Source organism: Homo sapiens, chromosome 6 (assembly GCF_000001405.40).
Source record: "Homo sapiens chromosome 6, GRCh38.p14 Primary Assembly".
NCBI lineage: Eukaryota > Metazoa > Chordata > Mammalia > Primates > Hominidae > Homo > Homo sapiens.
In genome coordinates, this window is record NC_000006.12 from 25,500,808 (window position 1) to 25,527,477 (window position 26,670).

At 38.3% G+C, this 26,670-nt stretch overlaps 1 protein-coding gene across 20 annotated transcripts in view, besides 1 other annotated feature; it reads left to right on the forward strand.

Annotated features, from left to right (window-relative positions):
• The window catches only part of CARMIL1 (capping protein regulator and myosin 1 linker 1), a 341,157-nt gene that overhangs the window by 221,434 nt on the left and 93,053 nt on the right, over nucleotides 1–26,670 (forward strand). For 11 of the 20 annotated variants that reach the window (XM_017011008.2, XM_017011009.2, XM_017011015.2 and 8 more), the window contains exons 18-24: nucleotides 6,672–6,683; nucleotides 8,849–8,930; nucleotides 9,700–9,799; nucleotides 9,901–9,955; nucleotides 14,868–15,040; nucleotides 16,540–16,608; nucleotides 19,437–19,530. In XM_017011008.2, coding sequence (XP_016866497.1) covers nucleotides 6,672–6,683; nucleotides 8,849–8,930; nucleotides 9,700–9,799; nucleotides 9,901–9,955; nucleotides 14,868–15,040; nucleotides 16,540–16,608; nucleotides 19,437–19,530 — 585 coding nt within the window. The remainder of the gene's footprint in view (nucleotides 1–6,671; nucleotides 6,684–8,848; nucleotides 8,931–9,699; nucleotides 9,800–9,900; nucleotides 9,956–14,867; nucleotides 15,041–16,539; nucleotides 16,609–19,436; nucleotides 19,531–26,670) is intronic. The other 9 variants (XM_017011010.2, XM_005249218.2, XM_047418994.1 and 6 more) reach the window with 1 other exon arrangement.
• Nucleotides 3,079–4,278: an enhancer, noted in NCBI's record as "P300/CBP strongly-dependent group 1 enhancer chr6:25504114-25505313 (GRCh37/hg19 assembly coordinates)". NCBI's record gives its function as "activates an origin of replication core promoter dependent on BRD2, BRD4, P300/CBP, MED14 and CDK7 cofactors, with strong dependence on P300/CBP, by STARR-seq in HCT116 cells {active_cell/tissue: HCT116}" and the evidence as "EXISTENCE:reporter gene assay evidence [ECO:0000049][PMID:35650434]".

Consider the following 26,670-nt stretch of genomic DNA (forward strand, 5'->3'; position numbering starts at 1 on the left):
CCCAGGCTGGAGTACAGTGGCACGATTTTGGCCACTCTGCCTCCTGGGTTCACGCCATTCTCCTGCCTCAGCCTCCCAAGCAGCTGGGACTACAGGCGCCCGCCACCACGCCCGGCTATTTTTTTTTTGTATTTTTAGTAGAGACGGGGTTTCACTGTGTTAGCCAGGATGGTCTGGATCTCCTGACCTCATGATCCACCCGCCTCAGCCTCCCAAAGTGTTGGAATTACAGACGTGAGCCACTGCGCCCAGCCTAAACTGTCTATGTTTTACAGGGCACCTAGACTTTTGCTATCTTGAAACTTTTACTTTGTGTGACTAGTAAGAAAATACCCAGATACAAACTATATGGCCTGTTCAGAGCCTGACTTAACATGTCAAGCTTTATCCCTTCTTCCCAGGAATGGAGATGGAAGTCTCCTCATTCCTATTCCCGGGCCTTTATACTCACTGTTCTCTCTTCCCCAGCACTCCTACCATGTCCATCTTCCTTCCCCTCCCCAAGACCCTCCCTCTCTTTGAGGAATTAACTCAACATGCAGTCTCCTGCATGCGTGCATCAGCTTCCTAGGCTATGCAATCCTGGATGAATTGGTTAATATCACTAAATCTCAATTTCTGTGCCTGCAAAATGGAGATAATAGTAACTCTCCCAATGGATTGTTAGGAAGTTTAAAGGAGCTCTTTTTGAAAAGTGCTTCTTAGGGTATCTGGTACGCAGAAAAGTTGTTTGCTCTTGCTGTTTTTCTATCTGTCTGCCAAGTTTCTTCCCTGCCTGCTTCAGCCCTTTGTGATCTTGATCTTTTCTAATTGTCTAGCACTTAATGATAATAGCATGCACTTGGACACCAAATCGCCAATAGTACCTTGCACAGATATTAAATTAACTCCTGTATGCTTGGATGTAACTTTCTGGAGGGCAGTATTTATGTCATACTATATTTTGTATTTCCCCTATCTCCTAGCAAAATGCCAGGCACCAAGCCAGTACTAAATATTGAATAAGATTAATGGTTTGCCTCTATGAAAATTCTAGAAATGGACAAGTCTGAATTTGTACCATATAAATTGTTAGTGTAGTATTTTTCATTAGTTTCAAGCTGGAGTGAACACCAATTATGTGATTTAACAGTCTTGTTGTTTTGAAAAAAGAAAAGCAAAAAACAATACAAAAAGACATATTGTAAAAAAAAAAAAAAAAAAAACCCAAACAATAGAACTCTAAAAAACTAACCTTGCGTTGTGGAATTTTCATATGCAGATTAATGATCTTTCATTTATAAAAACAGACTATAAAGTAGAAACCAAATCTGGTAATATTAATTAATTATTTGTTTACCAGCACTTTACTGAGGGGCATGCCAATAGTAATTTTATTTTTAATTGGGGGAGGAGTGAGAGATGAAAGGGGTGGGATAGGTTATTCTGTCAAAAAAGCAAACAAACAAAAAAAAAACAAAAAAAAAACACCAGGCTGGGCGCGGTCAATGCCTGTAATCCCAGCACTTTGGGAGGCCTAGGCGGGTGGATTACGAGGTCAGGAGTTCAAGACCAGCCTGGCCAAGATGGTGACCCTGTCTCTACTAAAAATACAAAAATTAGCTGGGTGTGGTGGCGGGTGCCTGTAATCCCAGCTACTTGGGAGGCTGAGGCAGAGAATTGCTTGAACCTGGGAGGCGGAGGTTGCAGTGAGCCGAGATTGTACCAATGCACTCCAGCCCGGGCGACAGCTAGACTCTATCTCAAAAAAAAAAAAAAAGTAAGTTGGTGTAAACTTTACTGCTCTATCAGATCAAACTACTAAATTAGCAATAACTTCTAATGTGGTTTTACAATCCTGATTAAATATCGTGACTGCCAGCAGTCTAACATCTTTTATTCAGTTCTGTGATAAAGCTGGGATGGGCATAAGTGATCATCTGGTTCCTTAATTATAGGTAAACTGAGGTTGAAAGAAGTGGAAATAATATAACTCACCAATGGCAGATCCATGATGAAAATACTCTGTCCTCATTCTCTTTTGCTAATAGTAATATTGACTGTGATAATTATTAGACTACTAAGTATGGTTAGGCATTTTCTTCTCAAATAAATTGATAGGGGCCATGTTGCCAAAGATTGCTATATACCTTGTTCTTTAAACTCCTTTATGATCTATTGGGAATAACTTTCAGATAGGTATAGTAGATGAACCCTATAAAACTGATATTTTGCATGTCAAAAATTGCAGACTATTGGCAGTTTCGTAAAGTTCAACTTAATTGCTAGTAGACTTTATAATCTTTTTAACGAAGGCAGGAATTCAGGTCAAATGGTTAATCTCCGATGATGAGCTTGAACAGTATTATTGTGATAATTCCAACTTCATTTTGGCCTTTCACTTATGCATTATATGATAAATTGATACTGCCGACATGGGGAAGTCTTGAAAGTATTGTAGTACCATGTTCTCCCCACTTATAACCTGAATCACAGTACTGGTGACCACATTTATAAAGTCACATGTTATGTTGATGCATGAAAGTTGGTAAAACACAAAATTGTTTTTCTAAACTATGTTATAGTGTTTTATCACATTTTGTTTCTTAGGCCTAGATGTCCACATTTAAGTAGGTTTCAGTTTGCTTCTCTTCATAATATAATAAATCTCCCCCCAAAAGTGTTTGGATTTCCAATATAATTCATGCTGGAATGCTTGACACTTTGAGTGTTAACTGTTTGAGTCTTTAATCATCTGTGTTTGATATTGTAGAGTTTATGTAATCCTCTTAGAAAGAAGCTCTTACTATCACGGAAGTTTAAAATCATGAATATGTATATTTTCTTTCTGCCTGTTCTCTATTTAGCTATAAACCCTCTCCACTCTTAGCATACCAGTTGAAATCGTAGCAGCTTCAGCCCTTGACTTTCTCCGATGATCAGATAAATCTAGTCTTAAAATCCAAAAGGTGGTGAGAAATGAAATTTCTCCTTGATACCATTGCCATCTTGGGAGGTTATTTTTCTGAGGATGACTTACTCAGGATGAGGAGCTGGCAGACCTAGGATGAGTCAAGGTCCAGCGCATTTGGCTGGCAGGTGTTGATCATTGTGCTTGGGGCCGTGGGTTGGCGGGGGTGGTGGTAGGAGGGGTTGTCCTGCAGTTTCTGATGTGGGCTCCGTAAGAGCTCAATGCATCCTGTGGGTACCTCTAATACAAGTCCACCTCAGCCAGGGAAACAGAAGCTATTGTGAGATACCTTGATGTCATCTTATATTTATAAATAGGTGATTAATTTTAATATAAAACATCTACTATATAGAATTTTTGATCCAGATTTAGTTCTTCTCCTGGTAGGGGGAATAAATCCAGTGATTGATTTTAAAATCACATTAGTATGAGTGTTATAGAGGATAAATGATGGTAAAAGATGGTAGTTGAGATTATTGGGAGGAAAGGGGAAAATAGTCTTAAAGTAGGAAGTAAAAGTGTTTGGACAGGGAGCTTAGAATAACTTAAGCAAATTATTTTTGATTTTGCCATATGCTGGTTCCTTTATTGTTCATTCTCACCTTTCCTAATAAGTTGGCTTGTAGGTTCTCAGGGTATTCTTTATTCCCCTGAAATAGACATGTCACACTCATTAATTTGAATGAGAGAGGAGACTTACACTTCATGCTATTAAAAAAAAAGTTTCCTGTGGGTATTTAGAACTTATGGAGTTGCTTTCTTACAATACAAACATCATTGTTATTTGGAAAATTAAATCTAAAATGTTGGTCTATATTCTTTTGGATCTGTGATAGCTAAGGTAATAAGCACTGAAATTAACCTTACGTTTTCAGATAACTTCTATACTTACAGGAAAAAACTTCGGTGTTCCTTAAGGCATTTTACATTAATTATATCATCACCTCTCTTTCTTTCCCTTGGTCTTTTAGTACTGAAAAGGAGTCTCTTTTGTGTATGAAAATGACTCAAAGTAGTTATGGGAGGCAAAAGAGTGAGCCAAGCGTGAGCACTTTGGAATCAAAAGGCCCCCTTTGAAACCTGGCTCAGTTACTTAGCTTATTAGGTGACTCACCTTCTTTTCAGCCTTTGTTGCTCATCTATTGAATGGAAATAATAGTTTTCAGGGCCAGCGTCTGGTACAACGTCACTACTCCAGCCCAGCATATGTGAGCCATCATCTGGGGAGTAAAAGGTTTGAGATGGAGGAGCTTTATTTGGAATGTCAGAATTGACATCATAGGTCAGTATTGCCCTTCTAAACATTTTTATTTAGAAGCTTTATAAATATTCAGTCTTTACCAAAACATTTTTGGGAATTGCCTTCAAAGCTATTTTACATCTTTCAAGAAGGATTACTCTCATCAGTTTATGGTGAGACAAATTCTTCTTGAAACCTGATTTTTTGATGCAAGACAGTATTATACTTCATGGCCAGATTAGCTTCAGAATGGCCTGTGGCTGATCCTTATTCATTCTCAAAGGGTAAAGATTTAGTGTCAGTACAGATGTTCAGAGAAATGTGTGTGTTCCATTGCCCTGTAGGTTAGTTCTAAAGAGCTTCAAAACCATTTTCTATGGCAGTAGTGATACTGGCATTCATGAGTAGTATTCCCATGTACCCAAGTATCTGAAGAGAGGCAGTGGATCTTTCATTCTCTCTTTTTTTTAATTGAGACGAAGTTTTGCTCTGTCACCAAGGCTGGAGTGCAGTTGTGCAATCTTGGCTCACTGCAACCTGCACCTCCGGGATTCAAGCTATTCTCCTGCCTCAGCCTCCTGAGTAGCTGGGATTACAGGCATATGCCCCTGTGTCTGGCTAATTTTTATATTATTAGTAGAGATGGGGTTTTACCATGTTGGCCAGGCTGGTCTTGAACTCCTGACCTCAAGTAATCCACCTACCTCGGCCTCTCAAAGTGCTGGGATTACAGGTATGAGCTACTATGCCTGGCCATGTGCATTCTTGTATGTTTAAAAATCTTATAACTTCATAGTTATACATTAAGAGAAGAATTGGTAAATGCTGGGACTAAATTCTTCAAACTTAGTCTCCTTCCAAATAGACAAAAGTCTCTAATACTTCAGAGAAGATGCAAAGGGCAATTAATTATAGCTGTGGCTTAGTTGTAGGCCTGGGTGTGGGAGTTAGTTTCTTTAAGTGGAAGCTTTTCTGAAGATGATCCTACAGTTTATTGCAATTCATGATGAGTAGAAAAAAGAGCACCAAATACTGACATTTGTAATGAGTTTTGCAGCAATTGAATACAAACTTTTGAGACAGTTTCAGTCCATTTGATAGTCATTCAACCAACCTTGAGGCAAGCATCATTGTAGTGCCCCTTACCTATCACTTCCCTGTCAGGCCAGGTACGGAATGCAGAATTGCAAATGTTCCACGTGACAGGATGCATGTATGAAAGCAATGAATATCTGCAACTGTTTGCACCTTGAAAATGACTGTATTTGCCTGGGCATGATGGCTCACGCCTGTCATCCCAGCACTTTGGGAGGCCAAGGCAGGCAGATCGCTTGAGGTCAGGAGTTCAGGACCAGTCTGGCTAACATGGTGAAACCCGTCTCTACTAAAACTACAAAAATTAGCTAGGCATGGTAGTGCACGCCTGTAATCCCAGCTACTTGGGAGGCTGAGGCAGGAGAATCGCTTGAACCTGGGAGGTAGGGGTTGCAGTGAGTCGAGATCGTGCCATTGCACTCCAGCCTGGGAGACAGTGACTCCGTCTCAAACAAACAAACAAACAAAAAAGAAAGAAAACAGCTGTGTTTATATACATCCTTCTTAGGTACTAGATTGTTATTTGGCATCAAATCCTGCTAGAAAGTAGACATTATGAACTGGATGTTGTCTAATCATGTTTTCTGTCCTTGGAGAAACCTATACCATTCAGTTTTATGTATGAAAATTTCCCAGGATAAAAATTAATTTAAAAAAAATTACTATTGGAACCCCTCTGAAAGAATAGCAGATAATTTGGGGGTCATTTTATATTTTTGCCTTATCTTTTTAAATGACAAATGATATTAAGGAAGGAAAGTAAATTATTAAAAGTTCCTTCTTGATTTTAATTTTCCTTGCTGTCCTTATCCCCATTATGGATATTTGAGTGTTTGATATAACTTTTTCCTTAGAATTATGAGTAAGATCAGAAACGTTCCACCTTCCTTGAATGAGAGGATACTACTCTCTTGAAAGAAAGACGATTTTATTTTTAACCGTTTAAAAAGTGTTCAACATTTTAGTCACATTTACTTCTCTTTGATCTTGCTTTCTTGTAAATAATGCTGGTGTGTGGGATCCAAATAAGGGTAATTTAAAAACCAGTTTTACATGCACACATGCAGACAGCCTCTAATTATGCAAATTCATTTAAAAGGATTTTCATTTACAGTAATGGAAAAGCTTTTACTGTTTTGGGAAAGCTTTAGCTTTTGGGGAATTTTAGACATTTAATAATCTGTGACTTGAATGTTCTTGGTAACTAAAGCTTAGTTATTTTCTTATCTGAATTTTTGTTTTGGGAGAAAATTTTAGTTAGAAGTATTTTTTCTGACTCTTTGCTTTTTTACATTTTGTATTGATAGAAACTTTAGCTTCTTCTTTATTCTTGTTCTGCATACTGCTGATAATGGTTTCTGTTTTTTCTCCTTGGGCTTTCATTAGCTTGGCCATTGTGTAAGTACTTTATGAATCAATTAGAATATATTGATACATTTGATTGTTTTTTAAGCATTGGAAAGTATGTTTTATGTGTGTATACTACAAATATCAGTAAGGAGTATGTATAAACAAAGTTAAACATTTAAATGTTACCTATATTTTCTATTTCTATAAATGGAATATTTTTACTGTACTTTACAATGATAGAACATAGAAATTTTCTAACAGAAATTTTATTTCTCAACAAGTAAATCACTATCAGCAAATATGAAATTGTGAAGACTTAACGCATTTACGTTTATCTTCTCAAAAGCATACTTTTTTCTTGCTCTAAAAATCAAATTGTTTTTTGAGAAGTGTTTGCTTAAATGAGTTCTTGCTTTAGCTTTGACATAGTGTATGTACACATTTACTTCAAGTAGTAAATATCTGTAGTAAATAAACTATTTTTATGTTTTTTTAAACTTCCAATCTATCATAAACCAATACATTTATAAAATATAATACGAATAAAATACAAGAAATATTTAGAAAGACATAGATATGCAAGCCCCCAATTTTTATGATTAGATACAACAGACCTAAAATTTTTACTACTAAGGTTTCTAAAAATTTTTACACTCAATTTCTGTACTTATTCATCTCAAATTTTGAGTAGCAAGGTGCTGGGGAAGATGTACAGGTGTCATGATGAGATAGGCTCGATGGGGCATTTAGGTAAGCTGGAGAGCGCCTGAGAAAACAAGCAGGTGTAGTGAAATGGGCCTGGCAGTCAGTCTTGACAATAGCTTCACACACAGGTTAGAAGCCCTTCAGCTGTGAAGTTGGTTTTGGTTTCCCTGAAGTATGTAGACCAGTCCCTTGGAGAGGTCTGCCTCTGTGTAATACTCTACTTCAGAGCTCACCTTAGAGCAATCTGTCACCTTAAAAAGTAGAAATGGTGAGATGCGGTGGCACATGCCTGTAATTCCAGATACTTGGGAGGCTGAGGTGGGAGGATCGTTTGAACCCAGGAGTTCAAGACAAGCCTGAGCAACACAGTGAGACGCTGTCTCAAAAAAGTAGGAATGGCTGAATGTAAATATCCCAACTGAAATTCTCCTGATATCGCATCCAAAATAGGGAAATGAGGATTCTTCTAATTCTTACATCAAAACCTAGACATGTGGAAAATAGCACCTTGTACTGTAAATTTGTTGTTAAACTTTTTATAAATTTTAATTTTCCTACATGAGTAAAGGACTTGCCATGTTCCTTGGTTTATAGTAGGTTTCCAAAAAATGATAGTTTGTTTTTCCTCATTAGATAGTAAGTTTACAGAGCAAAAGGGCCACAGCTTAGGAAACTTTGCATCCTTCACAATGCCTTACACAGAGTAGGAACTCAACAAATATTTGCTGAATGAAAAACACAGAGATATTATGACTGCTATAAAGTATGCTTTGGTTTCATAGAAAAAGATGAAAAGTACTGTATTGGGTTTTTCAGGTTGTCTTTCTCTTTTAAATAAAATTGCAAATGAGGTGAGAATAATCATTTGCACTTAGTTTTGCTCTAAAACAATCATGATAATAATATTTTATATTAATTTAACATTTTTCCATCCATGGCTCGAAGCATTTGTACAAATCATTTTGCAGTCATCTTTAGTTAGCTAATATCTGCCTTATGAGTGAGAACTCACACTCATGTCTTAGAACAGGTAGGGATGGGTCCTTCCTAAAATGTTTGACAATCAAAGTAAGTCTTCATTGTCTCCTTTGGTTGGGTGGAGAGTTTACACCTTGGAATCGGTAACAGTCAAATAAAACAGTAACTTTCTCATGTATAAAATGAATTTATTAAATTTCCAAAAGTCAGAAATGAAGAAATTCTTCTGGGTTGATAATGCACTGCTTTGCTACTATAGTGGCGTGGGTGGTGGTCATCTTGTTTCTCTTTTGTTTTTTTCTAATGTTTTTAGGATTTAATGTGGGATCACATGGCATAGGAAACAGCAGCAATGGCTAGTGATAGGCTCTTTACCCACTGATAATAGCTTCTTTGGAGTTGATAAGCTTTTACTTTTTCTTTGGTACTAAGTTTATTTTAAGACTGACTGTCTCTCCTATTTTTAATTTTTTGATTACATCTCCAGTAGAGTGAAGACTTTACTTTGTGTTTGGTTTGTGTTTCTCTAGCTGAGATCAGGAGGTGCTCAAGTATTAGAAGGTTGCATTGCTGAAATACACAACATCACCAGCTTAGACATCTCTGACAATGGTAAGTCAGATATTGAAAAGAAATGAAACTGAAATATTTTTTGAAGCAAGTTAATAAGGGGAAAATAATCTTCTACCCAAATCCAAACAATAGCTTAATAAAAAAATTGTTTTTTATTTTTTGACTAATAGGGCTTTTAAATTTAACAATGGGGTATATTTGTAGAATAGATCTGTGCCAGAGTCTTACTAAGTTGACTCTGTGGCCAACTATGCAAAGTCTATGCAGTAAAACAACTCAGTTATAAAAATATCACCAGTACATTGAAAAGGGTCTGAGACCAACTTTTTGCATTCTTGCTGATAATAAAATTGTACTCTTGTTTATTTATTCAAAAGCTTATTTCATTAGCTTCATTTCTGCTGATTGTAGTATCATGTTAGTATGAACCTGTGAAATTTGCATAGACAACTTTAACTCCACTTACCTCACAGTGAACAGTTTGTTGGAATCTTCTCTCACAGAGTGGTGGGGAGAGATGAAACTTTCTGCCATTATTCATTCCCATTTCCTGCTGACTTGGTTTAGCCACTGATTGTATAAGAGATTTAGATAAGTCTTTGTAGAGAATGAGTTTATCCCTGTGAAATAATAGGACATGAAAAGAGAGCAAAGAGTGCCTTTGAAAATAAAAGATTAGAATCCCAGGCCCCTCAGGAAGGTAAAGGAAGTCATCCAACTATATGTCACCTTTGCTTAATTGTGTTCCAGCTGAAAATTAATTTATACACATGTGTTTTGATGTTCTACTTACTCTGATTCTTTCCAGGTTTAGAATCTGACCTATCTACCTTAATAGTGTGGCTCAGTAAAAACAGATCAATACAACACCTGGCGTTAGGCAAAAATTTTAATAATATGAAATCCAAGTAAGAGTTTTGAATTTTTTTATATGACAATGATGAAAATAACCAGCCTCCTGAAAGCTTTTGATTTGATTCCACTGTCCACATCTCTAAAATCTCTTTAGAAATCTGACACCTGTATTGGACAACTTAGTACAGATGATTCAAGATGAAGAATCAGTGAGTATTATGTTAAACTTTTTACTAAAATCTTCTGTTTGTTGCCATTCTTACTGATTATTTCTACTGGATTAATGCTGAAATACTTTCAGATAGTTTTATCAACGTGTACATTTTCCATTACTTTTTAAAAATGGAATAAATACACTTTAGTAGAGTTGTAGAATGTATTTAAAAACTTTTTTTACTTTATTCAACTCACTGTCAATTAAAGGAAGATTGTCACTAATAGATAAAAAGAAGTATAAATTGACTCCTGAGCCTATCTTTTAATTAGCCTTACTACTCCCTAACTTTAGCTAATAAACTAATCTTCAGGCATGAATTTTTACATTCTAGTTGACTTTATGACCTTATATAATGCTGAGAAATATCATATTGCTAATTTGAATTTCATCTAATAATTATGTGGAATTATAGGGGACCAAGGAAGTTTTCTTCCATCTTTAATTGCTTCTTGAAGTCTAGTAGCACTCTGTATTTTTAATCCCCTTTCGTTGCTCCTGACCAAAATTTAGTTCAGGGTAAAGAAGTTTAATTTCAAATAGTATCTTATTTTGCTGTCCTTGAAAATGGATTAGGAGAAAGAAAAGTTATTTTATGGACAAAATAAGAAGCAGTCTACCATGAATCCATTTGATTTAGAGCTGGTGTGTTACACCTTATATTTTACTGATGCTCTCTAAGATTTTGTCCGTTTCCTCTCAAAGTCCTATTTGGTCACCAGACTCAGCTTTTCCAGTTCCTAAAACTCAGATGAATTTGTATTCCTACTATGAAGAGTCACATTACTCATGTTTTGTAATAGCTACTTTTGTAGGTCATGAGGATGATTTTTATATTAATCATGTGGAGTATGTCACATTTGGAAAAAGTATCATTTTCCCTCCTGAATTCATACCAGGGAAGAGCAAATTCTATCACAGCTTTAAGCTGACTTTTCTGTGAAAGCTAAGAGGCCAGGAAGGATAGACACTGGACACTTCCTCACTTGCCGTTGCCCCCACTTCTTTGACAGGGCTCTGAGCTGGTGGGCAGGAGAAAATTCTGTTCTCTTTCCTCTTCATTGTGGATGTAATTTTCAATCTGTGGGCTAGAAAATGAATCTCATTATTGTTTAATGAATTCAGCACTTCTCCTTACCCTCATTTGCTAATAAACCCCATATTTTGTTGCTCTTATGCTGGGTTATTGAAATTAGGGGTATAATTAGAATGTAATTTAGACTTCTCAGAGTTTATGCTGTTTGCTTTACGTATTTAATTTGACTTTGCATCACTCTGCCTTGTTTGAGTTTCTGATTTTCCAGTATTGGCCCAGTTTTAACAGATTAGGGAAGCTAATATTACATAATTATACTTAAAATTCACCCCAAGATGTTTTTTTCTTAACACATACTTTAGGAAAATTTGTATTTTTATGAAAAGTACATAAATTTTATGTTTTGCTCATTATGTGAGGTTCTTCAAACTGTATCTATAATTCTGGAAGTCTGTTACTTAAAGATGATAGTTAAAATATACCTAAAACCATATCTGCAGATGATAAAGTTTGCTATATAAATGTGAATTCTGTCAAGTCACAAGTTTGAATAGAGTGGCACTCATAATGCTGTACAATGAAAAGCTTTTTATGTTCCTGCCATTGAAAAGTAGATGGCTTTTTCAGAAAGCAATTCTTCTGTTTTTTTTCTACTTTCAAATTGGTAATATGGAAAATAATTTGAAATGATTAGGAGATGAGTCTTGTGATGATAAAAATTTTTACCAATACCTGGTACAATTGGGATCATTTTTTGTTTTATTTATTTACAAGTTTTACATGTTAAAAAATAATCTCTTTACTTTTTACATTCTGACCTGGTGTTTGTAGAGCTTGTTCTTTGACCAGCCTATGGAATACCTTATTCACCCAGTATTATACATTATGTTCAATTGAAAAACCTACATGCTGGTGGGTTCCAGTGTCACCTTCAACTATAGACAGTGGTTTTCAGTCTGCTGCACCCAGAGTCATGGGACAGTAACATAGAGGGCCAAGATGACAGGGAGTTTTGTTCTGAAGTATTACATATGAACCCATATTGTAACCAGTAGAACAGAATGTGATTCTCCTGGGGGTGCCTGAAGCCAGGAGACAGATTCTCAGATTAAGCATGTTCAGCTATGAAAAAGAAATAGTAAGATTTCAAATAGTAATGTTACACAGAAGTACAATAAATCAAGAAGGGATGACCTTATAAATATGCACGCAATTCAGGCTGGTCTGTTTGCATTAATGACTCTGCCTATTATTTTTAAGTATTAACTGGGGTGTATTAGAATTTGAATATAGTCCTGGAATTGATGCTTGACAGCTCGGAGAGTTGGCAGTTTTCCAGTATTAGGAAGAAGCTATAATATATCATTTTCGTAGTAATTGAATCAAGATTATTGAAATAATGAAAGATGTAATTACATCTTTTTATTAAAGCATACTGTGTTTGTTTTTCTTTAAAACAGTAAGTTTCCTGAGCCTGAAGTGTTTTTAGTTGTCATTTCCACTTACCTGTATGTAGGATGTTAAGAAAATTGAAGAAACCAAGCTAAACCCACTTGAGTCTAAATGTATTCAGACTTTTTGGCCCAGGTTTTAATTGCCTTAGCACTTACCAGGCCATTTAACTTTTATTAATTTGATTCTGATTAATACAACATTACCTTTTGATTTTACCATAAATGTATTAACTTTGAAAGCCATGGTATATTTGGATGATAAGGACAATAATATGCTTGTTGTCTCTTGGTACCAACCAAATGCATAATGATGCTTTGTTGATATCTGAGTCTTGAAACCATCAACACCCTCATTCTGTCTCCTGTAGCCCTTTGGTAGATGAACCTCTCACAGATGTTGCTTTGGAAGTCAATGTTAAGTGTTTGAGTAGACACAGACAAACCCCAGGCTGTGTGTGGGGGCTGTCGTGTAGACCACCCAGGCACACCTTGAGAGCTCCAATCCCCCAAGCATTGTGGAACTTGGTCATAGATTACCCCAGAAGCTGCTTCTATCACTACTTCCTGTAGTGTTGGGACTGCTTCTGCAATAACCATATAATTTGTTTAGTGTGGCTAGGACAATATAGAGGACCCCAAGCAACCCAGGAGACATCCACATCTCCCAGGGAAGTCTGAATTCTGACATTTAGAGCTACATTGGTTCAACCTGGTTAACCTGGAATTCTTAACCCCACTTTAATAAGTTATGGCTTAAATCAAGGAATGCAAACTCAAATGCCCACAGGGCTAGGAAGGCAACATAAACTAGTAAAGTGAGCTGGGTGTAAGTAGGAAGCTCTATTAATTTATTGTTACTATTATTATTTTGGTCAGATACCATGCAAGACAAACAAAACCTGCCTTTAGGCTGCGTGGCTTTCAATATCTGGTTTAAATGGATGGAAAATGAGTGGACTGGTTTGGATTCACCATACAGCTTATGGTCAAATAAAAACGTCACACAAGGCCTGGTGCGGTGGTTCACGCCTGTAATCCTAGCACTTTGGGAGACTGAGGCTGGTGGATCACTTGAAGTCAGGAGTTTGAGACCAGCCTGGCCAACATGGTGAAACCCTGTCTCTACTAAAAATACAAAAATTAGCCAGGCATGGTGGTGGGCGCCTGTAATCCCAGCTACTCGGTAGGCTGAGGCAGGAGAATCACTTGAATCTGGGAGGCGGAGGTTGCAGTAAGCTGAGATTATGCCACTGCAGCACTCCAGCTTGGGGGGACAGAGCGAGACCTTGTCTCAAAAAAAAAAAAAAAAAAGCCACACAAGTGTGACTTAAAAAAAGAATTGTAGATGTATCTTCTGATTGAAACTTAACAGATAAAGTTAAGGCTGAGTGTGGTGGCTCATGCCTGTAATTCCAGCACTTTAGGATACCAAGGTGAGAGGATCACTTGAGCCTGGGAGTTCAAGACCAGCCTTGGCAACATAGTGAGACCCTGTCTCTACAAAAAATATTTTAAAATGAGCCGAATGTGGTGGTACGCACCTGTAGTTCCAGCTACTCAGGAGGCTGAGGTGGGAGGATGGCTTGAGCCCAAGAGGTCAAGGCTGCAGTGAGTGGTGATTGCACCACTGCACTCCAGCCTGTGCATTCTGCACAGAGCGAGACCCTGTCTCAAAAAAAAAAAAAAGATAAAATTAAAGGGTGATGATCAAAAAGATCTGAGATAAGCTAATAGGGAGATGTGGTATAGGGTTAGGAGCATGAAATCTGGAACCAGTACATCTGGGTTTGAATCCTAGTTCAGGTGCTTTCTAACAATGTAACCTTGGTTGAGTCACCTAACTTTTCTGTTTGTTGGTTTGGGAAATGGGGATAACAGTAGCATCTAAGCAATGGGTTAGTGGGAAGATTAAGTGAATTAATATACATAAAAAGCTTAAATGGTGGTTAAACATAGTAATTGTTCAATAATTGTCAGCTATTATTAATCCTGGCTGGCTTTTATCTTGTATTTGTCCTCTATTAGTATTTTAAGGTGTCATTTCACCTTGTATAAAAATAAAATGGGTATAAAGGGTGATCATATTAAGCTGAGAAATTTTTGTTATGTTTTTATTTATTTCATCCTATCCTCTGCTTCACGCTGGCAGTTGTCAGCCTGCATGTCTTTCCCTGGCTTCCCTTAAAAGAGAAGTGGTAGGTATTCAGCATTAAAACACAAGTTCTCCATCTTTGACTCCAGCGGTCCATTTTGTGCCAGAACCTTAAGTTTCTATCCACGAGTGTCTTTTAGGTAGTAGTTCTAAAATCAGACACGTGCAGTAGGTCCATCCCCTCTCATTCTCCACGAAATGCGTCGTGGAGAGTGGGTGCTGCTTTGATGAGACTGCTGAGTGCCGTGTGTCATTTGCTCCGCAGCCTCTGCAGTCCTTGTCCCTGGCTGACTCGAAACTCAAGACTGAGGTCACCATCATCATCAATGCCCTGGGAAGCAACACCTCCCTGACCAAAGTGGACATTAGCGGCAACGGAATGGGGGACATGGGAGCGAAGATGCTGGCCAAAGCACTGCAGATCAACACTAAGCTCAGGTAGGCAGATCCCACCCTCCCTGCTCATGAGGAAGGCTTGGAGCAGATTCCGAACAGCAAGCATTGCAGAGCTGCTGGGCCCGAGGGGACCTGGGCTTCCCATGAGGCCATCTTGAGGAGAAGAGGTGACAATGTCAAGATTTCTGTCAGAATAATGAGGAGGCTGTTCCCAAATTTAGAAGTAGTGATTCCTTCGGTCTGTTGTCTTATAGTTCTGTTGTAAGGTAGAACCTGACTGAGAACTGCCACAATTTCCTATTTCGCATCAGTGTTGATAGCTGACCAATGTGGGGGTAAAGGCAGTGAGAAGCTAGGAGGGTTTTGTAGGCAACACTAAGTGAGCAGAGCCCATACTTCTCTGTGAGCCCAAGGTCTTAACCCCCTTGCTCATGCCTGCCGATATAAAGACTTAAAAACAAGGGGTACAAAAGGTCTGCTGGTTCAAAACCCAAAACCAGGCTCACACTGGGTGCTAGCTGTTCTCTTTAGCAGTTTTATTCCATGTTTCCTAAGTGTGGCTTTTCTCAAGGACTAGCTCCACTGTCACCTTGTTGCCATCCATCATTCAGAGAGATTGGTGTTGCTACCTAGGTCAGCAGTCTGGTGAATGAAGAGTTAATTCACATTGCTCCTCAAGGGCTCTTTCATGATGTTTTTCTATTCTCCGGCATAAAAGTCTAAGCTGAAGCCAAAACCCAAAATCTGCAGCAATTTCTTTGAAGGTCAGTATGTGTGTAAAGAAGGTCATCGAGATTAGGAAGGGAAGGCAGTGAAAGTTGTGAGGCCGGGATCATCCAGACAAATAAAAGCTATTTTATGTGTCAGGGTGAACTGACAAATCCTAAATACCCCTGAAGTATACACATTCTGAAGGTAAAGTAATATTTTTCTCCCCAAATAGATTTTGTGTTTAAAAAGCAAACAAACTCCTGTTTATAGTAACTGATGTTTTGCCAGCAGAGTGAGGAAGTTCCTAGGATTACTAATTAAGCCATGTCAGGGAAATAATGAAAACACAAGGAACTATGACAGATTCTCTCTAGTGTTTTAGAAACACTAGTGTTTTACTGTTTGGGGGGAACAATCTCAGTAGCTGAAATTCTTTATATTGGGCATGGAACTGGTTAGCATCTTTTGTAAATAGCTTCCACCTCAGACATAAATATAAGAATATGATTGGGAGAATATCAGAGAAATATCAGAATTTAGAGTTTTCTGTCTAGTGAAAGTTAGATAACATAATAGTAAGTGAACATATGTGCTATTGCTTTAAGTACAGTTTTTCCATACTACTTGCGTGGTAAATGTGTTACGAATATAATATTGGGGGAAATGCTTATCCTTGTTTTGTTAGAAATGAAGATGAACATTATTCCTTGCTCACATAATGCAGCTGTACTGAAATATCTACACACTGCTGTCTATAAGAGGTTTATATTCAATGTGAGAATCATTTTCTTTAAGTGTCTGATCATTTATGTGATTTGATTTTCAAACAGGACTGTAATATGGGACAAGAACAACATCACTGCACAAGGCTTTCAGGATATAGCTGTTGCTATGGAAAAGTAAGTTTGAATTAGGATTTCTTTCTAGGAAAATAAAAAAACAAAAACCAATGGTATATATGTTACCTGTTGGGTAATAGAATCAACTGTTTATTGGGGATCAGAAGATCTGGGTCTGAATTTAGTCTACAGCTAACCAGCTATGGGATCTTGGAAGACATTGAATTTCTCCTGGTGGGAGTTTCCTTATGTATGAAATGAGGGCACAGATGCCTGTTCTGCCAAAAACACCACACTGTCGTGAGAATTAAATGAGATCGCGGGAAAGGGGCTGTGTGAGACTTGCCTTGTTTCCTTTCCCCTTTGTGGAAATTGTGTAGATTTCACAATCTACACTAGGTCTTGTTCTTTTTCCTATTGTGACACCTTTGAATTCACTGGTGAGAAGAAAGCTGAGGTCCAGAAAATAAAGGTGAAATTGATAAATGGTAAGCCCAGGGCTAAGTTGTCTCATTACTATGAAAGACTTTCTTCATTACTTCAGTAACTAAAGCCTGCAATTATTATTTATTGTTGAATTTACTTTCCCAGTAAACTAAATGAGAAAATAATAGTAGACATAGTTGAAAGTAATACTAGGAATGTGGTTCTTTCTGGGCTTTTCGATCCTCATATTGTATTATAAAGGCAGAAGTGAACAAAGCAGATTTATAGCATTAAAAATGAGAGGCTATAAAATATGGGTGAAAAATAAGGGGCGGATGGCATAGAAGCCGTTTCCCTGGGAAAGGGGAGGAAATGCTCATTATTTTGTGTTTTTCCAGATTCCTTGTATATGTGAGGCCTCCCAGGAGGGCCTCTCATGCCTGACATGGTGTTGTGGTACAACCCTAGACTGGGAATGAGGAGTCCTTCATTCAGTCTTCAGTTCTGTCACCCACAAGCCTGTGATCTTGATCAAGGCATTTTACCTCTCTGATTAAATCTTTTTTCATGAAATGAGAGGATTAGGATAAATGATCTCTAAGCCCCTTCCATTTCTAAATCCTGTGGCTCTACTTCAGCCAGGAGTTCAAAGTTACTACCATTACAAAATCACAGAGACTCATCTCTCAGCCCCTTCTCTGTGCTGACCCCAGGGCATCACTAAATAGGGGTAAGGCAGCTTAGACTATCAGTTTTGCATTGCCACTGCATGATTACAGACCCACCTATGGTTACTCCTATTGCACCACAAAACCCCAAATGGAGACATTTATTTACACTGAGCTGCATCTGGATGCTAACAGCACAGTTGCCACCCTGATGTTGTTGTAGACTGCCAGTGCAGGCTGGTGTTTGGAAGAAGCCAGGAGCATGCACAACCAATACTCAGCATTTCCAGATTGACTGTTGGACTCCCTTGATCACAGTCGATTATATATGCTCTGCTCCAAGATGCCAATGCTTCAAAATCACATTTGGTTTAAATAAACTATGCTGGTCTGTAACATGATAGAAATTGGATGAGGGAAAGAAAAATTGTCAAGGCCGTAAAAAAGACATATCGTCTCTTAGTTTCATTTGGCTGGATTTTCTGAAGGCAAACAAAAACAATTTTGCTAAAACAAAGCTAAGATAAAAATTAAAGCAATAGAAATTACAGCTTTCTCTTTGTCTGATTATTTTACATGAAGCTACTCTATAAGTTGGACTGGGTGAATATTTTTTTCCATTAGCCCATCTAGACTGCTACTATTAACTTGATGGTTTTCTTTATTATTTATTCTTTATTAGTACCTTATTTTGGGAGTTAGTTGCTGATTTATTCTTTTAATAGATGTCGTCTAAATATGGCTGAGAAGCACACGTGAGTGCTGCTGATAGTTTAGAGTCCTAAAACAAGGCAGCTACTGTGCAATTTTAATGTCCCAGTTGCCACCAAGTAGCCCGAGGTGAAATTGAGCTCTTCCTGAGCACCGTGTTGTAGAAATGGACAGATGCATTTTGGGGTGGAGGACAGAAGTCATCTCTAATACTGGCATTTGTGGTAGGTGAGCAGGTGTTAATGGTCATCTGAGCACATAGCAGTTTGCAGCAGGGTCAGGATCAAAGGCCAGGGACCAGCTTCAGAGTTCTGTGTGTTTTCCTCACACAAAAATGGCTCACTCCTGCATGTTTGTGTTTAATAGGCCTGCCAGTAGCAATGGGATAATATACAGCAATCAACAGTTGCTTCATTTGGTTTCTCGAGCCTGGTGGACATTAGCTCTTGAACTCAAGCTGAAAGGACCTGCAGAGGTCAGAGTGTTTAGCCAGGCAGCAGACCCTTTCCCAGCAGCTTTAAAAGAGATAATCCCATGTATACTGGACATCTTCATTTAATGGAGCCCAGAAACTTAATAGACTATTTTGTGGATGCTAATGGCTTGCTTTGCAAGCAAATGTTTTGTTTTTATTTCTGTTTTTTTCCTTTACCAGTTTGGGGCTGGTTGTCACACATAATCACTGTGGGGACCCAGGTAGAGTCAGATCTATTGGTTACTAAAACCCATGTAGCAAGTTGATGCTGGACTTTCCCTAGGCTTTCCCTCAGTTCATCTTTTCAATCCCAGTGTGAAAATTCTGTCCTTGATGGAATCCAAAATTAAAAACAAAACAACAAAACTGCATTCCTCAAAGTTGTGTCAGTTTTGTAGGTAGTGTGAGTTGATGTGGTTGCCTGTGGTATTTGCACATGTGGTTATTACAAAGGATAATCTGCAATCTAGGGGCCTAAATGGTCTGGTGGTTTGGAATTTTCTAAGCTACTCTTGCAGCTATCCTTTTGGATTTTTAAAAGAAGAGTGCTGAATTAAGGTAATAGGAAGTTATTTTTAAATAAGTATATTATTTTCTCCTTTTTCTAGGAACTACACATTAAGATTTATGCCAATTCCTATGTATGATGCTTCTCAAGCCCTAAAAACAAACCCTGAAAAAACAGAAGACGCTCTGCAAAAGGTATTAAAGAATCAGTAGCTTAATTACAAGAAATTCACATTTGAATTGTGGTTATGTTCCTGAACTTATAAACAATACTTTGTTATTTTACGAAGTTTTTTTAAATTTTATTTTATTTTTTCACATTGTCTTATGTTCTTATGACCACAACTGGGGTAATGCATGACTGGGGGAGGAGTAAACTAAGGAACACTAAAGCTTGCCATACAATTTAAGTGGAATAAAAAAACATTCTTACAGCATCAACATGCCAGAGCTTAAGTATAGTTAACTTCTTGATTGGCTGGGGGAGAAATGTGTGGAACTGAGTATCAGTTTGCACAGCTTCCCTCCTCTTCATCCTCAACAGATGGATCCCTCTCTTCTTTTTTCATCAAGAAATTTAGAGTATTCCTGAGCTCTCACTTTACCATCCTCATCTATAAATGTATGTAAATCTACACCTATTCCTGCCTCTGTACTGGCAAACTCAGAGGTACCTTCCACTTCAAAGCCCAGCCATTCCCTGGTGCATTTGACCCCCTTATTCTGCCCTGTGCTGGAAACCTCTGAATCATTCCCTTGCTCTTCCATATCTTCATCCTTCTCTTTTTATGGCCACCTTTCTCTGCATTTTAGATGTGCTCAAATATTTCCCATCTGAAGATGCCTACTCCACTCACACTGTGGTATTATTTGAGGAATCTTTGAACTTTTCCAACCTCCTTTGTTCTTTCTCCTTGGCGATGTCATCCAAAAGACCACCAAGATGGCTAAATTTTAGAAAGGAAAGCTTCGTTAATGTTACTGGTTTGCAAACTGGGAAGAGACAGTCTCTGGTGTGTGCTGAATGTGCTCCTCTCTTCAAAGAAGGGAAGGGCAGGTTGGGTTTTATGCTTCACAAGGCCTGCATCGTACAGCCGAGTTGTACATATTCAGCAGGCTTGGGGGGAAGCTATACATGTTTATGAGGGGAGCAGAGTGCATGTGCAGTGGGTAAACATGTAACATACATCTCATATTCACTTTGGGGTGAGGTTTTAGCATTAAAATGAGGGTGATTTTGGTTCTTTATGTTAGAACTATAGTACACAAAGACAGTTTGTGAGCAGCCTCTGTACCCTGGCTGAAACTGGTTTAAGGTCTGCAGTTACTTATCAATAAAGAATGTGGATGGGCGCGATGGCTCACGCCTGTAATCCCAACACTTTGGGAGGCTGAGGCAGGCGGATCATGAGGTCAGGAGATCGAGACCATCCTGGCTAACACGGTGAAACCCCGTCTCTACTGAAAATACAAAAAATTAGCCTGACTAGGTGGCGGGCGCCTGTAGTCCCAGCTACTCGGAAGGCTGAGGCAGGAGAATGGCGTGAACCCGGGAGACGGAGCTTGCAGTGAGCTGAGATCCATGCCACTGCACTCCAGCCTGGCCGACAGAGCGAGATTCCATCTCAAAAAAAAAAAAAAAAAAGAATGTAAGGCTGGCCCTCTGTCCAGTCAGAGTCGTAGTGGTCTGGGTTGTAAATCACAGTAAAAGGGATCTGATAGCTCCTGTTGTTAGGGAGTTTAGAGCTGTAGGGATTTAGAAATTTGCCTTGCCAGCTGGCCCTGAACCCTTACCCCATAGGTAACTTTGTTTCCTTAACCTTAGGGTCCATCTTAGTTGATGAAGGAGTTGCTCAGATCACAGTGTTACCACCTTCCATCTAGTGTTCCAAAGTTGACTTTCCTCTATCATTTCTTCCTTAGCTAATCAATCAGTAACTCTACCATTGTGTAGCATAAATCTCTTCATTAGCTTTCCTTCCCTCTGTTCCCATTATGGATACCTTCCTTCAAGTCTCATCATTTCTTACCAGAATTGTTGTCACATTTGCCTCCTCTTGTCAGTTTTACATATTGCAATAAAAAATAGCCATCCTATTTCATGGTAAATCTGAGCAGACTAAAATCTTTACTCTATCCCTTCCTAGTGGCTTTCAGGATAAATAAAGCTGGGTCTCCTTAACATAGCAGGAAATTCTGTCCAGGATCTGCCTCCTGTACACTTCCCACTTCATCTCTGGCCAACTCTTTTGTTTTGACCTGTCTCAAGGAACTCGTTAAAAATGCAAATTATTAAGCCTCAGAAACTGGGGTAGGACTTAGCATTTGTGTTTTCACAAGCTTTCCTGGTGTTTGTAAGTTTGAGAATCCCTACTGTATTCCAGACATCCTTTTTCTTTCCTGACTACCATGCAGGTCTGTTGAGATTGAAATCAAGTGTCGGCTCATCCAGGAAGACCTCTCAGAGGCCCTTTCCTTCTCTAGGTGTGTGGTCTTAGGATTTCCTGTGCTCCTCTCTGTCATTGGCCTTGCAACATTGATTTAAGTTACCTGGCTCCATGTTTTATTCTCCTAATGGTCTATGAGTTACTTGATGGCAGAGCTTATGTATTTTTTCATCTTGCTTATTCTCACAGCACAGTGCCTAGTATGTATGACTGGATACTTCATTGATTGATTGATTGGTTGACAGGGTCTGGCTCTGTTGCCCAAGCTGGAGTGCAGTGGTGCAGTCATGGCTCACTGCAGCCTCAACCACCTGTGCTCAAGTGATCCTCCCATCTCAACCAGGACTACAAGCGTATGCCACTGTGCCCAGCTAATTTTTAAAAATTTTTATAGAGACGAGGTTTCACTATGTTGCCCAAGCTGGTCTCAAACTCCTGCACTCAAGTAATCCTCCTGCCTTGGCCTCCCAAAGTATTGGGATTATAGGTGTGAGCCACCATGCCTGGTCGCTTGAATGCTTTTTAGGCATATGTTGAATAGAAGACAATATGATTGGAGATGAGAGAGAAAAAAGCTGTGGTATGGCAAAAGAAATCAAGATTTGAATTTAGAATATCTGACTTAAAATTAAACTCGTCCCATAACCTTCAATAAGTTACTCAATTTTTTTGAAATTTATTTTTTTCAACTGTATAGGTAGGAAAAATAAAGCTATGTAATAACTATGTTTAGCTGACAATATGTAATTCTTACTGGGTGTCTGGCACTATTTTAAATGTTTTACATAAATTAATACATGTAATCCTTAAAATAAATGATGCAGTAGGTTCTAGTATTACAGATATGGAAAACAAAGAGTAGGAAGATTAATTTGCCTAAGGTGACCATGAGGATCCAGTGAAACAGTATATGTGAAAAGGAGTTTGTGAAAAGCTACATAAAAATATTAGATATCTTTATAATTTCCAATAGGATACTAATCAGTTTTGAATAAAAGACATATTCTAGAGAAACCAGGTTTCTGGTTTCAGATTTGAACTCTCAAGAGCTTGGAAGTTATCACTCCCATCCTCACAACAACAAAAAAATCTGAACAAACAGAAAACCAATGACTTTTCTTAGATCTGTCAAAGAACTTAAGCCACAAGGAAAACTATCACCCTGAAAACTGGGGACTGGAAAGAGAGGTACAGAGAATCACAGTGAATCATAGCCAAGATCAGCTTGCCAGGAGCTGAAGCTAGTAGGATAATAACTTACAGGACCACTTAAACAGTAAGTGATGAATTGCCAGAGACTTAGCACAGACTAGCTTAAGAGCCAAAAACTCCTAGGGGTCCAGTTTTAGGGAACCCCCACCCTTTCATGGGTTTTATTTCCATGAGTCCCAATGGGCTATCGCAGTAAAGATTGGAGAAAAATTTCCTTTTTTTTTCTGGCAGGGGGAAGGGTAAAATAACCATTTTGAAATATACTCAGAGCATTCTCTTCTAAATAACAAAGATCTACCAGCCAGAGAAACTACTTTAGTAGGACCTTACCTGAACAGGGGAAAGATGATTAAACAACCCGCCCTCTCTAACCTGTCTCACATAAGGGATAGGGTTGAAAAGGATAAGAAATATTTCCAAAGGCCATAGCCCAGGGACCAGGATTGCTTAAAAACAAACAAACAAAAACTAATCATAAGATTATAGAATACTTCCCCTTCCTAACACCTTATCACCATGTCAAGTAAAATAACAGTGGATTACAACTGAGCAAACTGCAAGACACAGATTGTAATTAAGAAAGAGTTTCTAGGGAAACCCCAAAATAATGGGATACAAAAGCAAGGACACTAGAGGAAATCAAAGCCTCTGGCATATACAGCTACAACAAATACTAAACAGAGCCCAGCTCTTAGCCAGTTAACATATAAAACCTCACACTAAAAGGCTGATTACCTCAGGTTGTATTACCAGGTATGTCATTTTCAGCTTTCAGCCAAAAATTACAAAGCATGTTAAAAAGCAACAAACACAGTGTGAAAGAGAGAAAACAAGCATCAGAACGAGACTTATCTATGATACCAGTTTTGGAATTATCAGAGCCCTTAAAATAACCATGATTAAGTTGTTAAGGGCTCTAGTGGAAAAAGCAGACAACATGCAAGAACAGATGGGTAATGTAAGCAGGAGATAAAAGCTCTTAAGAAAAAAAAATTAAAAGGAAATACTAGAGATAAGAAACCTGTAACAGAAATGAAGAATGCCTTTGATGAGGTTATTGGTAGACTGGACATGGCTGAGGGAAGAATCATTGAACTCTAAGATTCTTCAATAGAAACTTCCCAAACTGAATTGCACAAAGAAAAAAAGAAAAGAAAAGAACAGACTATCCCAGCACTGTGGGATAATTACAGAAGATGAAACTTGCTACTAATGGGAATACCAGAAGGAAAGAAAAGAGAGAAAGGAACAGAAGAAACATCTGAAGTAATAATGGCTGATAATTTTCTGAAATTCACAACAGACACTAAACCACAAATCCAGAAAGCTCAGAGACCACCAAGCAGGATAAATACCAAAAAAGCACCCATAGGCATAGCAAATTCAAAATGTGGATAACCAACGACAAAGAGAAAATCTTTAGAGAACATAGACTAAAAAAACACCTGTGTATTGAGAAACGAGGATAAGAATTACGTCACTCTTTTTGTCAGAAACCATGTAAGTAAGAAGAGAGTGGAGTGAACTATTTAAAGTGTTGATGCAAAAAACCCCCAGCAGCCTAGAATTCTATATCTAGGAAAATTATCCTTCAAAAGTAATGGAGAAATAAAGACTTTCTAGGATAAACAAAAACTGAGGGAATAATATATCACTAGTAGATCTGTCTTGCAAGAAATGTTAAAAAGTTCTTCAGGGAGAAGGAAAATGATATAGATTACAAATTGGATCTGCATAAAGAAAGGAAGAGTATCAGAGGGAATAAAATAAGGTAGCATTATATTTTTCTTATTATGAATGATGTAATAGATGACTATTTTTTCAGAATAATGATAACCACAATGTACTGGGTGAATGTGGTATAAAGGATGGAAAAGGAATTGACAATATTCTGTTATAAGTTACCTACACTACTCATGAATCAATATAGCGTTATTTGAAAGTAGACTTGGATTATTTATAAATGCATACTGCAAACACTAAGACAAACACTAAAAACTTTTTTAAAAGGAGTATAATTGATGAACTAGGAAAGAAGAGAAATGTAACCATACAAAATGCTTAATTAAAACCAGAGACAGTAGCAAAAAAGAAAGATAAAAGAAACAAAGGACAAATGTAATAGATAGAAAACAGTTACAAACATGGTAGATATGAATCCTACTATATTAAGACATAATTGACAGGTCAGAAAATTGAAAATAGGTATAGAAAATGGACATTCAGGGCCGGGCGTGGTGGTTAATGCCTGTAATCCCAGCACTTTGGGAGGCCGAGGCGGGCGGATCACAAGGTCAGGAGATCAAGACCATCCTGTGAATGGTGAAACCCTGTCTCTACTAAAAATACAAATAAATAAATAAATAAATAAATAAATAAATAAATAAATAAATAAGCCAGGCGTGGTGGTGGGCACCTGTAGTCCCAGCTACTCGGGAGGCTGAGGCGGGAGAATGGCGTGAACCCGGGGGGTGGAGCTTGCAGTGAGCCGAGATTGCGCCACTGCCCTCCAGCCTGGGCGACAGCACAAGACTCCGTCTCAAAAAAAAAAGAAAATGGACATTCAGGACAAAATATGCAGATATGTTAACTGTAAAATTTGTGCTTTGTTAATAAAAAAATAGGTGACTTTAAAGCTTATATTTATTGGTTTCTTTTCTCTCCCCTCCCCTTTCCTTCCCTCTCATTCTCCTGTTCTTCTCTCCTCCTTCGCCTCTCATCTCCTTTTCCTCTCCTCTCCTTCTCTTCTGTTCTTTTTTTTTTTCTTCTGAGACAAGGTCTCACTCTGTCATCCAGGCCAGAGTACAGTGGTGCAGTCATGGTTCACTATAGCCTCAAATTCCTGAGCTCAAGTGATCCTCCCACTTCAGCCTCCCGAGTAGCTAGAACTACAGGAGTGAGCCATAATGCCTGGCTAATTTTTTAATTTTTTGTAGGGATGAGGTCTTGCTATGTTGCCCATGCTGGTCTCAAACTCCTGGGCTCAAGTGATCCTCCTGCCTCAGCCTCCCAAAGTGTTGGGATTGAAGCATGAGCCACCACACCCAGCCTATTGGGTTTTTTTGTAAAATTGCTGTGTTCTTACATATTCAAGTTTTTATTTTAACAGGTGGATTTTTGTCTTCTGGAAAAAATATGACTATTTACTTTTACTCTACTGAAGAAAAAAATACTGTGATTCAATACTCAATCTTAAAAACACACACACAAGATTCCTTTACTAAAATACAGATTTTTTGTGTTTCGTTTTTGCTTCTTTCGCTGGTGCTGTTTTCAGCAGTGAGACCAGAGATGTCTGACTAGCTCTAGGTTATCTCCCAGCTTGCTCTCAGCTGTCCAGGGGAGCCCAGTAAACCTGACAATGACACCTTTGGTCCTTCAGGAAGTGGGTTTTTTTGTCCTTAGTCTGAAATGGTACATGCAAGCAAAGTTTGCTCTATTAATCTAAGATGCAAATAATTTTGGTGGTGGTGTATACAGGCCTGGTATTAAAGTCACTTGAAAATTGTTACTATTTCTTCCTTTTGAACTGGAAGCACCACTGGTGCATCTGGGGAAATGTCTGGAAGGCATGAGCCAGCCTTGGATGCACTGCCTGTGTGTGAGATGAGCCTTCTGAGAAAGCAAACTTCTCTTGGACCCAGCCACAGCCAGTGCTGCAGTGAGGCCAAATGTA